The sequence below is a fragment of the Homo sapiens genome, chromosome 2 (genome assembly GCF_000001405.40).
Source record: "Homo sapiens chromosome 2, GRCh38.p14 Primary Assembly".
Lineage (NCBI taxonomy): Eukaryota > Metazoa > Chordata > Mammalia > Primates > Hominidae > Homo > Homo sapiens.
In genome coordinates this window covers 113,334,658-113,349,119 of record NC_000002.12, presented here as the reverse complement: position 1 = coordinate 113,349,119, position 14,462 = coordinate 113,334,658, and the positions used below count along the sequence as shown (strand labels likewise).

General features: G+C 44.5%; 1 long non-coding RNA gene across 1 annotated transcript in view, besides 1 other annotated feature; it reads right to left on the bottom strand.

The window, feature by feature from the left end:
- LINC02966 (long intergenic non-protein coding RNA 2966) overlaps positions 1-14,462 on the bottom strand; it is a 101,028-nt gene that overhangs the window by 76,946 nt on the left and 9,620 nt on the right. The window lies entirely within an intron of this gene.
- Positions 7,101-7,600: an enhancer, noted in NCBI's record as "H3K4me1 hESC enhancer chr2:114099097-114099596 (GRCh37/hg19 assembly coordinates)". NCBI's record gives its function as "activates a minimal SCP1, AML or CMV promoter by ChIP-STARR-seq in primed H9 embryonic stem cells {active_cell/tissue: H9 hESC(primed)}" and the evidence as "EXISTENCE:reporter gene assay evidence [ECO:0000049][PMID:30033119]".

Genomic DNA, 14,462 nt, shown 5'->3' with positions numbered 1-14,462 from the left:
CAGGTGAGATGAAAGGTAAAGGAAGCACTTTGTGGGTAGAGACAGCAATATCTGAAGGTGCAGAGAAGGAGGGCTGATAACACCTCTCACATACTGCTTCATGTTGTGCAAAGGTTTTCCATGTTCATTATCTCATGGGATCACACACCAGTCCTGAGAGGGGAAATACTACTATTTGTAGTTTACCATGGAAGACAATGGAGAGTCAAAGAAGGTAAGTGACTTCCCCAGTGCTATGAAAGGAATACAATTTTCTGATTTCTTGTCCCTTTTTCTGAGTCTATGACTACAGCCTATTACACTGTGTCCCAGAGAGCTCAGTAAGATGTGAATCAAGACCATGTCCCAAAAGGGAACCAAGGGAAGTGAATTGTTGAGAGAAATTAGGAACTAAGGAGAGCTGGGAAAATTGAGCACATTGCTTAGAAAAGGGGTCAATGAGAAATAGAGAGTTGGTCTGTCAACATCAAGAGCATCAAGGAAGATAGCCTAAGTCTGCACTAATTTAAAGGAAGCCAACCCCAACCTACTCCTGTGTCCTGAGAAACAATACTCCACCCATTAATCCCACTGAATTTAATGAATGCCACAGTGTATCAGAGAAACAGTAGGTGACTCAGAGCAGGAGCAGGAGTTTTGTGCGGCCAGACACAGGGTACAAGGTATAAGATGTACATGAATCAGGATGATGGTCATGCCGGGCAGGATGTTACCAAAGATTGATGTGCCTGCAAAGGGACCCATAGGAAAGAAAGAGGACTCGGTGGAAGGGGGTGATCTGAGAAGGTTTCTGGGGACTGCTGAGCCCAGAATTTCACACATGTATAAGCATGGTGGTGAGAGTAGCTACAAAAATTAAGAAACCTTAATGTTAGTGAATGTGTTTGGCTGAAGACAAGTCCTTTTACTAAAAGGGCTGTAAAGCTCTCCCATAAGGGTTGGCAAAGGAAGCCTTTGTAAAATCTGGTGTGGAGAAGGGGCATGATGAGTCAACATGGCATTGAAACTGTCCATGAGAAATCAGGTTAGGAGGCTAATGAAACACGGTGTGAAGGCCTAAACTAGGGTTCTGGCAATAATGATAGGAAAAAATGTTATGAAAGGGATAATAAATTGATTTGGTTACTGAATAAGACATAGAGAATGAAGGAGAAGACAGAAGTCAAGAATGAGTCTTGATCATCAATGAAATCATAGCAATGTTGATGGATAAATAAAAATTAGAAGAGTCATAGTTAATGAGGAGAGGAGAGCTTAAGAGAACACAGGGAGATATGCATAGATACCTGGAGACACAGTCTGATGTTCTCATCAGTGATCAGGTCTAAGTGATGAGATTCAGAGGTCATCTATAAGGAGAGACGTATGACTCCTTGAGTGTGGGGAACAAGGTAGAGAAGCAGAAGGCCATGGTCTGAGCCTTGAGTGACATCAGAGAAATTTTCTATCTGCTAGGGAAGTGGGAAGAAACATTTCAATTAAAAAGCATTTCAATTCAATAATGAGAGATACTGGAAAAAGAAGCTGAAGGCATCAAAACTTAGAGATGGTAAGGAAGTCGTCGGTGCTCTTGGGTTGAGTACCTAAGACTGGTGAAGGGGAAGCACTGTGTGTGTGTGTGTGTGTGTGTGTGTGTGTGTGTGTGTGTGTGTGTGTGTGTGTGTGTGTGTGTGTGTGTGAAGGATGGCCTGGAACAGGCAAGGAAACCCAGAAACTTGGAGTTCTTTCAGGCAACTGTCAAACTCCTTTAGCTCCCAGGATGCTGCTCTCAAGGTGTTGCCAGGGTAGGACCAAGTGCCCAAAGACGCTGGCCACATTTTTGAGGTTGGTAAAACCTGGTCTGGAACTCCTGGTGCCACGCTGGCATGTAAACAGGTATCTACTAGCCTCTCCATTGTCTCAAGACCAATATATGCTGGACAATCTTGGCCCTAGATGGAACTCCATAACAAATACATGAGGGGAAGTGCATTAGAAAGCATTTCCATTTGTGTACAAACAATACTTTAAAAACTGCTTGCATTTTTGGGAGTTGAGTTTGGTGGTTGCCTGGAAGAATGCCCAACCCCAGTTCTACTAGAAATCTTGGCCCAGCTAGTGATAATTAATGTTTTATGAAGAGTGTGAGCTGACCTACAAGAATACATATGAGAATGGTGGAAAATATGTTTGAAATTATCTCAGTACATAAAGGTAGAGTCACCATTTGTGTGTAACTAGAGAGTTTGAGTTGCCCAGCCTAAGTCTGAGACCTGCCAACCTCACCTCCTTGCTCTGTAAACTTGAGCATGTCTCAGACTCTCAGAGCCAACTTCAAATCTCAGACCATCTCACGGTGTAAAAAGAATAAAATGGACTAAATTACATAGCAGGACTTTATGAATTATAAAGTGCTTTTTAAATTATTATATTGCCAATAAGTAGTAAAAGAGCCTTTCTTTAAGTTGGACTTCAGAACCTAGAGTTCAAGCATTTGACAATGACTTTCCCTGCATGAGTTTTTCCCTCATCTGCTATTCCTAATTCAGTAATACATAGCAAGTTTCCTTTTCCCAGTTATCCTCAATCATTTTTAGCAGAGAAACTTCACAGCCCCATGCCCTCTAAAATGAGTTTGGAACTAAGACAGGAGGTTTGGGAAGACAGTTCGGTGATCTGAAACAAATAATTCATTTGGGGGCTTATGTCTCATTTTCTTGTAGGGCAATTCCAAGACCTGACTCACTTTGGGCTGAAGCTGTTAGAAAATGTCCATGTAGCCTTAGTTTAGGAGAGCTGCAAAACACCACCTCCCAGGCCCATTATACTGCCAGGCACTTTCACGTCCTTTACAATACAAAATTTAACCTAATCCTCAAAGCAGCTTCTCGGGTTTAAACTACTATTCCTAGTTAACAGATGAAGAGTCTGAGGCTCAGAAAAATTGAAAAATGTGCCAAAAGTCACATATATATGTGCCACAGCTGAGATTTTAATCCTTTTTTTCAAGTCTACCCCTATATACCACCATTAAACCACCCCTATAAGGAAGAGTCTCTGTGAACCAAAGGAATTATTTTGAGCTCCTTCTCCCACTATTTGGACTCAAGAGTTTCATCGAATATGCTACTCTGTCAGCAGGGCTGAGATAGAGAAATTATCCAGTGGAAAGGATCACAGAACCCAGAAATAGATCCACATATATATGAACACCACTTAATATAAACACAACTGACAGTGCAGCTCAACAAGGAAAGAACAGACTATTCAACAAATCTCACTGCAACAACTATTTAACCATACAAACCACCTAAATTGGAATTCTACTTCACAGCGTACATAAAATCAATTCTAGGTGGCTTAATAACTTAAATATGTAGGGTAAAATTTAAAACTTTAGAAGACAATATGAGGGAATATCTTTGACTTTAAGATAGGAAATACTTTTGTTTTAAAACACCATATAAAAATAAAACTCATAAAGAAAAGATTAACTTTGACTATGTTGAAATCAAGAATGTGGGTTCATCAAAATACACTATAAAAAATTGAAAAGACTAGGCACAATCTGGGAGAAAATATTTGCAACACATATAATCAACCACAGGTTTTCAGGACAGAGTTTCTGCAAATCAGTAAGAAAAAGGCAAACAGCTTAACAACGACAACAACAACAACAAATGTCAAAAAAATCATGAATAATCGTTTTACAGAAGAGGAAACACAAGTTTCCAATAAGCATACAAAAATCCATTCAACCTCACCAGTAAGCAGAAAAAATGGGTGAATGAATGGGGTGACCAGCTCAAAGCCTATATAACATGAATGTAATTAATAGAAGCTCTTGGGGCAACTGAGGGAAGAAAGCAGAAGAGCAGAAGCTAAGACCTGAGGTCTGCAACCAGGAATCTCTTTCTCTTATCTTCTGAATGCACTCAATCAGATAGAATTAGGGTCATCTAATCCAACATAAGCCTAATTAGGCCAGGCATGGTGGCTCATGTCTGTAATCCCAGCACTTTGGGAGGCCGAGGCAAGGGGATCGCCTGAGGTCAGGAGTTCAAGACCAGCCTGGCCAACATGGTGAAACCCCATCTCTACTAAAAATACAAAAATTAGCCGGGCATGGTGGCAGGCTCCTGTAATCCTAGCTACTCAGGTGGCCAAGGCAGGAGAATCACTTGAACTCGGGAGGTGGAGGTTGAAGTGAGCCAAGAGCATGTCATTGCACTCCAGCCTGGGAGACAAAAGTGAGGCTTCATCTCAAAAAAAAAAAAAAAAAAAGCCTAATTAAATCCTTCTTTATTAAATGAAAAGAAGAATGAGAGTATGTGAATTCTGCATTCTGCACAACCTCTCCACTAACCCCACCCTCACCAGTCTCCCTGGAGAATGCCCTCTTCTTTCTTGACTCCCTCCTGCTTTTTCCCTGACCCCTGCTCCCCAATCTATGCCAATTCAGTCCTTTGAATGCTCTTTAATTGTAGACACTATTTACTGGTTTGCAAGCTCGATGCCCTTCTAGGCCCTTCTAGGCCGTAAGCTTGATGCAGGGAAATATGTCCTAGTCATCGGTTAATCCTGCACCTCTTACAGTGCTTGGCAAATCATATGTGCTGGACACTTCTTTTGAATCTAACAGACACTAAGTCACAGACCATGAAAAGCAGCGAATCTAAAGTCAATGACTCAAAACGCAAGTATTAATAGATTAACAGAGTAGGGATCTCAAAATGAAAAGAAAGGGCAAAAATACAAAGTAGACTCCAGGCTGATTACAACTAAGATATAAAAAAGCAATTTAAACCAAGCCCTGAAGTCTTGCTGCGTCCCCTGCTAAGCCAAGCAAGTCTGATGCACATAACACCCTTGCAGGCCACACACAGCCCAAGGGAGAAAGTGGTTCCATGAAGTTTGGGCTGGGATATCTTTGGAAGAAAGAATAAAAGTCAACTTTGTGGAAATGGGGCAATCCAGATTTTTAAAAATTGGGGTATTTGTCCCTAGAAAACACTCACATCATTGCATACTGAAAGGAGCAGGCCAGTGGCAAGGTGGCAAGGCCAGGGGTAGGTGCAGAAACACAAGGAGGTAAAGGCAGAGGGTGGGGACCCACCCACAGAGAAGTGTGAGCGTCAGAATGAATCATGCCTGTTATCACTCAGGCCACTCACTGTCTGCACTGAACCTGTACTAATTCTGCCAAAGTGGCCAAAACCCAGTGGAAATTCTTCTAACAGATACTTCTGGAAACTCCTCTTCCAAAAATCTCTCAAAGTTGCTTTACTTTGTTGTACATCAAATGCTTCCTTGCATATGAATATAAAAACAGAACTTGAGGAAGAGATCAGGTTAGAACTCATAATAGGTTCCGATGATTTCTTTTCTTCTTCTTTTTGGGAATATTCTCAAATGTTGACCAGTGTAGCCTGGTTAGTGAAAACCATTATTGATCAGCTACTGGATTAAATGCCTAACTAACATTACAACACAAAGCAGGTACAACTTGTTGACCACTCATGGTGTGGTCACCGTCTTTAATCAGTGAATGTGTGTTATCCTTATAATAGTCGCAGTAGTGTCCTCAGGTCAGGATTGTTATCAACCCTGCTTTCTATATCAGAAAACTGAGTCCTGAGCGATAAAGTAGCCTATACTAAATAAGAGCACTGAGATTATTCTCCAAGGCCATCTGATTCCATCTCCTTCTAGTTGATATTCATGAAGAAGGATTGCTCTTGGGAACACTGGGTTCTCTATACACATTGTCAGTTATTTCTGCAAACAACAGTAACAACAACCGTTAAACTACGGGAAACTCATGGGCAGGACTCAGCACAGAGCTGGGCATCATGCTTCTTTGTACATCTGCTGATTAATTTTGTTTGGAGGCCACATACAGCATCAGGAATTTGAGAATGTTAGCTAACCAATGAAGACTTCCAACTGCAGGGGGTCTGTCTTCTTTTCCTCTTCTTTCCCTTTCCTTTTTCCTTCCTTCCTTCCTTCCTGCCTGCCTACTATGTACCAAGTGTTGTGCTGTGAGCTGGGACACAGAGATTAAAAAGACATGGACCACTCAAAGGCCTTGGCATCTAGGTATGGGAACACACCAATGCTCAGTGCAAGAAAGGATACTCAAATTCCAGGGAGACGAGTGAATAGACAGAATCAAATGCACCTCCTTTTCTCTGGGTTCCTCGTTAGACTACAGGGCTATATTTCTAAAGGGAAGGGGAACTCCCAGGCGGGTCTGTCTGGTAAGTGAGGGCAAGTCTGCAAAGGAGCCCGACCACATTACAAAGAGGAAGGACGGTGCCTGTGACAAGAAGGAAGAGCCACGGAGCCAGGGTGGAGGCACAGTGCAGGACCTGGGAGAGGCAGACAGATTCCCCTATGCCAAACCCTGAAGAAGCGGGGAAGGGGCTGCAGGTCTGGGAAATAAGTTAGCGAGCAGCAGAATTCCATCTGACCAGTTGCACCCCCGATCCCACACTCAGCCCACTATCTCCCAAGGAGGACTTTGACTTCTCTTTGTCCTTCATCTTGTAAATAAGAAGGAAAAATGTAAATCGCCTCAGTGCTAGAGAGTAGGACAGGGCTGGAGCCCGCCTTCCAGTGGGAGGGAGAATATCCATTCCAATATTTATTTATTATTATTATTATTTAGAGGAGAGAGAGGAAAAAAAAAGCCAGAAATATTTCCAAAATGTCAACACTATTAAGGAAATCTGAACACCTTAATCCATTTAAATGTCAGCTAGAACGAGGCGAAGGGTTTTCGGGAGGGGAGAATGAGGAAGTAAGGAGGGGCAGAGAGAATTAACGCCAGATTCCACATAATCTATCAAAGTTTCTTTCTTTTCTTAATATATTAAATATTAAATGCTTCTTTGCATCTGAGTGAGAGAGGAGAGAGAGAGGGACCAGGGTGGAACTCATAAATGCCTAGATAATTGGTTTTGAGGTTTTTTTTCTTCTTTCTTTCTTTCTTCTTGGCGGATTCTCAATTTCCCTATAAAAAAGAAAATTCATTTCCAGCCACTAATGTAATGTCAGCGTGCTGTTTACTAAGCATGGATGATGTATAGGGGGACACCACTTTCAGAGGACTACTTAATGATGCATAGAATTAAATCCTGAGCTCCTCAGCTGAGCCTCCTCCCTCCCTCCTGGTTCCCAGGCTCCCAGTGCATCCTGGGAGAAGCAGGCTTGGCATAACCTGTCTCCCTCATTACTAGAATTCTGGGGTCTCTGCCGAAGAAGCTTGGAAATCGCCCTTAACTTTAGCAGACACATTTGCCCTTGGCGTAGACCAGAGTGAGCTCCTAGGCAGTAAGAAGCTGATGGCCAGGGGAAAGCAGACTGTTCGGTGCTGAGGGAGATAGAAACAGGGAGTTCACAGGATGCACAAGGGTGTTGGGGTTTCCCTGTAGGGAAAGGGCTGGCCAGGGAGAGGGAGGGGTGGAGCTTCTCCCAGCTCGCCCTCTGCCCCCTGGGAACCATGGCATTCAGATGTCAAGTAAAATATATTTCCCTAGTTCAGCTGCAACCTTAGGGGCCTGTGAGGCTGTCATTGCCAGAGCAGCACCTTGGTTCTCCTGCACCTGCCAGGCAGACGCATTGTCAGTGCAGGCTGCTCTCACAGTGGGCTGGCCAGCCTGGGTGGGCCTGGCCTCCGCTGAGGAGCTGCACCCTGCTGAGAGACTACCCCACCTTCCCCACCGGGGAAGAGTGATTCAGCCATGCCACCAAGGAGACCACCAACTGGTGGTCAGCACTGAGGAATTGGGAGTGAAGGCAGGAAGGTAGACAATGGGAGGGACCAGTGGGCTGAGGGGAGAGGGGGAAATGTAGCTCTCCTGCGGTGGGGGTGTTGGGAGGGGGTATCCAGACACACAGTCCCTTCTGAATCTCCACCAGGGTCACTTTGGCCCCCTTGAGTCTACTGAAACTGACTTCCCCCTAGGTAAACTCAGCGGCCTCATTTTCTTTATCCTCCTGAGCGTTTGCTATCACTAACCGCTCTTTCCTTTTGAAAGCCCTCTACTTAGGCGTTGTCAGTGCTGCTCTCCAGAAAATTCAGTGAGTCCCTATCTCCTTTGTGGGGGTCTTGGGCTCTTCTAGTCTGCGCGCTGAGGATTTCCTATAGGAGTCTTTCTTGATGGCTCTCTCCTCTGTATATTTTCACTCCCTATACAGGTTCCCTGTTTTTCATGAATCCAAAGCCCGTGTCTCCAATCTAACCATGAACCTGGGCTCCCAGAGTGTGCCCACAGCCTCCTCTAGCAGCAAATTCAGAACTGTTCCCCAGTCAGCTCCCTTCCCCACCACCCCACTTCCGCCCATGCTATTGCCATGGCTTTCAGATTAGAAAACTTAAAGTCATCATTGTCTCACTTTTCTTTTATTAAAATTTTGAAATGACCTTTGGCTTCCATCTTTCCTACTTATCCCCTGACCCCCATCACCCCTGATCCAAGTCCTAGGCCTAAACTCCTGCCAAGGTCCCCCAAATTTTGCCTTCCTGCAGTTGAATCATCCCAGCCTATCCTGAACTCTGAGCCCCACCTCATTTTCACAAAATACCATTTAAAACGCATCATTTTACAGAGGCTAGTCGCCACCCACTGAACTGTGTCCAGACTACACAGCCCTGAGCAGATCCTACTTCAAAGGAGAATCAAAGGGAGGGTTTTCACCAGCTGAACCTGTGGAACAACAGTTGGAGAAACTGAGTTTCCAACCTGGAAAAGGGGAAGTTAAAAGGTTGCCGAGCTTGTTTAGGAAATCAGAAGGGCTGCTCTGCAGCAAACAGGGAGAGATACTGATGACAGAGAGGGAGATATCTGAAATCAGTGAACACCAGAAACCATGAGCTAGGCTCCACAGGACTTTCCAACAGAGACATCTAAAGGTGAAATTATCTGCTCCCATCTTGAAATATTTCCAACAAAGACTGATGATCACGTGTAGGGATATTACAGAAGAAACCCACATGTAGGACTGGGAAGGCATGCATAGTTTTTCTAGAAGGGTTTTTAAGTTCCTCCCCACCCAGAGGTCCTGTGATGCTGCACCTCGCTGTCCACACACACTCCATGTAAGTCTTTGCCCATGTGGCTTCCCTATGAAGAATGGCCTCTTGCTGATCCTTCAGACCTCCTCCTCTGGTAGACCTACTCAGACTCCTCTGCTCTCTCTTCTTTGCTCAGCCCTTCAACCACACAATCTTGTATTGTACTCCCCCTCCCTACCCTTAACTTTTTCTAAGTGAGGATGAATCTGACCTCCTATAGTATATGAATCATAATGTATCTTTTGCAATCTCACTGTAGCTAACACAGAACCTTGCAAACACTGGCCATTAATAAAAACTCGATCCATTGATTGATTAAACACAATTACACACAAATTTCACTGCCCACCTTGAGTATTGCTGTGTGAGCCTTGCCAGTCAAGAAGTGTTGCCCAAATAAAAATTCTGTGTGTGGCTCTCCACCATATACTGAACAAAATGCCATTTCCTAAGCATGACACTCAGATCCCAGCCCATAGTGATCCTGAGCTACCTGTTCAAATGTTCCTGCATTCCTTACTCTATCCGCTGGCCAAATCAGACTATATGCCATGCACTATTTTCACAGTCTCCCTGCCTCGAAAGCCCTTCCCGTTTTTACGCACCTCGACATTCCTATTTGGTCTTCAAAAGGCAGCTCAGAAATCACCTTCTCAGTGGAGCTTTTCCTGATGACCTCTAAGGCAGCTTCTTTGCTCCTTCCTCCGTGCTCCCAGGACACTTTGGGCAGATCTCCATTTCACTGCTCACCATATTTTATTATAGTTAATTGTGTACACATCTGCCTTCCCCGTCATATGATGTGCTTGCCCTTCAAGGGCAAGGACAATGCCTTACCCAACCCTCATCCCTCTAGTACCCAGCAGCGTGTGAGGTGTATAGGTAGAAGGCAGGAGAGAGGGAAGGTACAGAAGGAAATGGAGGAAAGGAGGAAGGGATACAGAAAAGAAAAGAAGGAAAGAAAAGGGAGAAGATGTTATGGGCAGTGGAGATGTTATGACAAGGATCCAATAAGGCACATTAACCTGGCCCATAAATAATAAGTGACCAAGAAAAGACATTTCATGAAGCTTCATGAGTCTGAAAAAGGAGATCTTTGCCTTCTCTCAGACAGATCCACTCTGGTCTGAATATACTTGATTCATGGCTACAGGTTCTCTGCATTACAGTCCATACTAATTAAAGTAAATGTTCTCTCCCTTCTGGGTCTTTAGTGTGCCCTGTTGCATAAGACAGAAGACAGTAACTATTTCCCAAAATAGTGGAGGTCTTGCATGATGAGATAATTCAGTGCAGGGATCTGGGAGCATGTCTTGCCCCAGGAGTATGGTTTATTCAGCCATAGTGGAGTGGGAAGTTGGTCCTGGGCTTTGTGGTGGTAGTGGATGTGTTGGACTAACTCTTGGCAGATTCGGTCCTCAGGAAAGTTCTGCCTAGGTATTGCTGCTAATTGGAATAACTAGGTGTCCCAGCTGGGCCAGAAGGGAGCCCCTGGAACACTCTGCTAGATGGAGCTGGAAAATACCTTTCTCTCAAAAATCTATGTGATCCCTTGATTACAGCAGAAATGAGATATTGCTCAAAAAAAATCTTAAACTGATTCTATAGGAGTTTGCACATAAGTAGACATGTCTGGTGAGCTACTTGGTGTTTCCTTATGGAAGCCCATTTGCAGAAAGGAATGATATGAACCCTGTGAGATAATTCACTGAAAGTAAGAAAGTCTGCCAAGGTGAACCAGACACAGCAGCAGGACTGGGGCTTAGGGTGACGGTGGCTCTGTGTGCAGCATTTGAGTAACATTAGGAACTCGTCCCCATTCAGCTATCCAAAAGACACAAAGAGAAGAAACGTCTGTGCGTTTGTAAATTGACTAAATTTTGTCCCACTAAATTGTGACCCTTTGAGGTACAGACAAAGCTATTTTGAGATCTTCCTCAATGAAGCACCGGGGACACAATGTTCTCACTTCCTACGAACACCAGTGGTTGAGCCAGTTGGCAGCAATTTGGGATGACAGAGAGAGCCCCTTATCGTGGCAATCCTGGGACAAACAAAGACTCTTGCTCAATAGTAGAGGTGACAGGCCAAAGTAACAGAAGCCAGCATCAAATGGTAGCTCGGACTGCACAGCCTCTAGCAACTACCCCATGGGTAGTCCAAGAATGTTTGGGAGGAGGGAACTCAGTAAGACACTGTGAAGCAGGTGGGAGCTCAAAGGTAGCAAGGCTCAAAGCTATGATTCACATGTCATTATCCGAACCTACAGACTGGTGAGATGCAAGACTGAGAATACATTGTTTTGTTATTTTTGTTTTACCTTTTTATGTTTGTTTAAATACAGAGAGTAATCATTCAGGCCAGAGGAGATAATAAAATAACCCTAGCAGATGCTCATACCTTAGATCAACTCAGGACACCCTACAGCTGTGTGCTCTAAGTTCAGGCTCGGTGTGTGGGGCAGGCATTCCCCAAAGATGAGAGGTCCCACCTGGGAATCTTGGCTTTACCCCCTGAGAGTCCAGGAAGCCTGGGGTGCTCCCAAGGATGAGATAGTGAAGGGGAGGCAGAGTTCAAAGCCCACCCTCAGGGTGTCAGAACAAGGACCTCCTCTCTTAGAGCCTCTGTGTGGCATCAAAAGAAAGGAATTTCAAGAGACCCTAAGAAGTCGGACACCTTGCCATCAGTCAGTCCACCAAGAGCTCTGGTTGGCAGCAGCTCTTTAGGTCTGAGCACCTGTTCCTGGGATTTAGGCACAACCAGAATTTCCTTGTCTTGTTTTCTTTTCTGCATCCTTTGATTTTCCCCAACTAAATATAAATTCTTTTAGACTATGGCTTCTAGATTTTACCCTTTAACATAATTCCTTAAATATAATATCCTGATCTCTCTCCCTTCTCATGTCCTCCACAAGCCAACCCACCTCCATTAGCAGACCCACCACCCAAGATAATTGGACTGGCCCCAGAAGAAAATGAAGACCCTACAAAATCTGCCTCTCCCCCAGGGGGTCACCGGTGCCTCCAAATTCGGTCCAGCAGGCTTGGTCTCCTCTTTTCCCTCAGCCCCATCCCTTCCTGGTCAGCCCAGTATCCACTTTCCTGGGTCTTATAAATCTAGAGCTAATCTGCTAAACTCCTCTGGGTCTGAACGTTAATGGCTGCTGTGAGTAAATGGGTTACCTTTCCCTGGAGTCTTCTCAAGCCACTATGGCAGGAGATTTCCACTCAAACCCTTCATATTAGTAGGTTCCTGAGACACCCATATTTCAGTTCTGTGGAAAGTACCAGGGTCAAACTACTGGAAGACCTAGGACCCCGGTCACACACCCCACCTACCCCACACTTTCTGCACTGTCCTGGGCCATCTCTCCCTCCTGAGGGTCTCCACAAATGGCTCAATTCCATAGGGTCTTGTTGATCTTACATCAACCAGTGTAGAAACTTCTGTCTCTCTCTCCCCATTCCTAACACTTTCTTTCACATTTTCTTATTCATACTCACCTTCCTTTAAAATAATTCCATGGATCTTTTTTCAAAGTTAAAGTTAAAGAGACTTTTAAGAATCTTAGTTTGAGTCTGTGACAAAATAGGGGAAATATCGTCCCTGAGGATGACTCTTGAGACAGTTATAAAAGACTATAATAAAATTAGAAATTTAGAAAAAGAAGGGATTCCCAACTGCTACTCTCCTAGCCAGGAGTCGAAACAGGCCCTTCACAAAGGGAGCGACAGGGAGGATGGCAGGGAGGGGCAGTGAGGAAAGTGGGGAGTTGAATAAGCCTTGCCAGATTGGGAAATGAGACCCACAGGGAAACATGACTCCAATCCCTCCTTAGCCATAAAGCCTTGTTCACACACCCTCCCCAGCAGCACTTCCCACACACATGTGTAAACAACAGAAAGGGCTCCAGGGAGCCAGGCTCTGAGCAGGAGAAGGAGAGAGAGATCAGTCTGAACTCTCCGGGCTTGGGATTTAGGGAAAGTGTCCCTCAGTTTCCTCATCTGTAAACCTTAATAACTGAAGCTAACAGCTACTAAGCCATCGCCATGGCAGACACTGCCAATTTCTTTATGTGCATTCACTTACTCACTCCTCACGGCAACCCGATGAGGCAGGTCCTATTATGATCCCATTATACAGATAAAGAAACTAAAGCTTGGAGAAACAAAGTCACCAGCCAGAGCTTATATCGTGCACCTTCAGTTCAACCACAAGACTGGCTATTTTTCTACCTGCTTCTCTGGAGGCTTTTATGGCAGGACTTGTATCTTATTCCCTTGAAATACAGAATCTTCCTGGACCTTCTCCTTCTATGTTCCATTTTTGTCATCAGTAGGCTAGGGACAGAAAGAGGGTAGATGAATTTTCTTTGGTACTAAATTGGTCTATGGGTCAAGAGGAAAGTTAGCCAGGGATATCAACCCATGCACGTGGACAACACCTCCCCTATTTTAAATTTTTCTTCCACACATTTTCTTTTGGCCTTCATAGCAGCCTTCAAATATAAATGAAGCAAGTCTTCCTCATCTATAAAATGAGGGTAAAATTGCCTGTCTTGCAGGGTTGGTATGAAGAGTAAATGATTATAGGAGAGCCCCTAGGACAATGTCAGGCACACAGTTTACTCTTACCAAATGTGAGGTCCCTTCTCAAGTCTAGGAGAGTGATGGTACTGACACGGAGACTGGACAATGCATGGTCTCACAACTGTAATTCCAGCAGCCCAGGCTTCCTCCCTGGAAGCAAGCATGACTTGGCATCCTGTGCCTCTTCTCTAGACTCCCTTTCTCCCTGCCTGTTTCTTCTCCTCTGTCCCCACCTCAAATGCCCCAAAGCTACAAGTTCTAAAATAAATTTACAACATGGTACTGTGCTTTAGGACAAGAATGGGAAAGAAGACCCCAGATATGGAATGGATAAGGGATGTTTTCGGGGGTAGGATGCAGACATCGTCAGGGAGGGAAGGACTCAGGTCACTGAGGGGAGGAAAGGTACATGGCACTGAAAGACACACAGATGAGTGCATATGCAGCACATGCACACACATGCCCATGCATACACACATATATGTACACATTATCCAGTGCCTTGGTAGACCACACCTCTGGCAGCAGTGGGTAGTCTTCACAAATGAGCCCCTGCTCACTCTAGAAAGCTATTCAGGCAAACTGTTCCTCTAGGAAACATTTTTAGGGACTCTTCTGAGAAAGAGCAATTGGGGTTAATATATGCATATAATCATATATAATATAACTATGATAAAGGCTGTGTTTAAAATGTGGCCAACTGTGCCTGAGGACCAGCCCCCTTGGCTGGCCTTTTAGTCCCCATGGCTACCCCTGAGATATGTCCACAGTTCCTTAGGGCACCACAGAGTACACTTTGAAAACCACAACCTCAA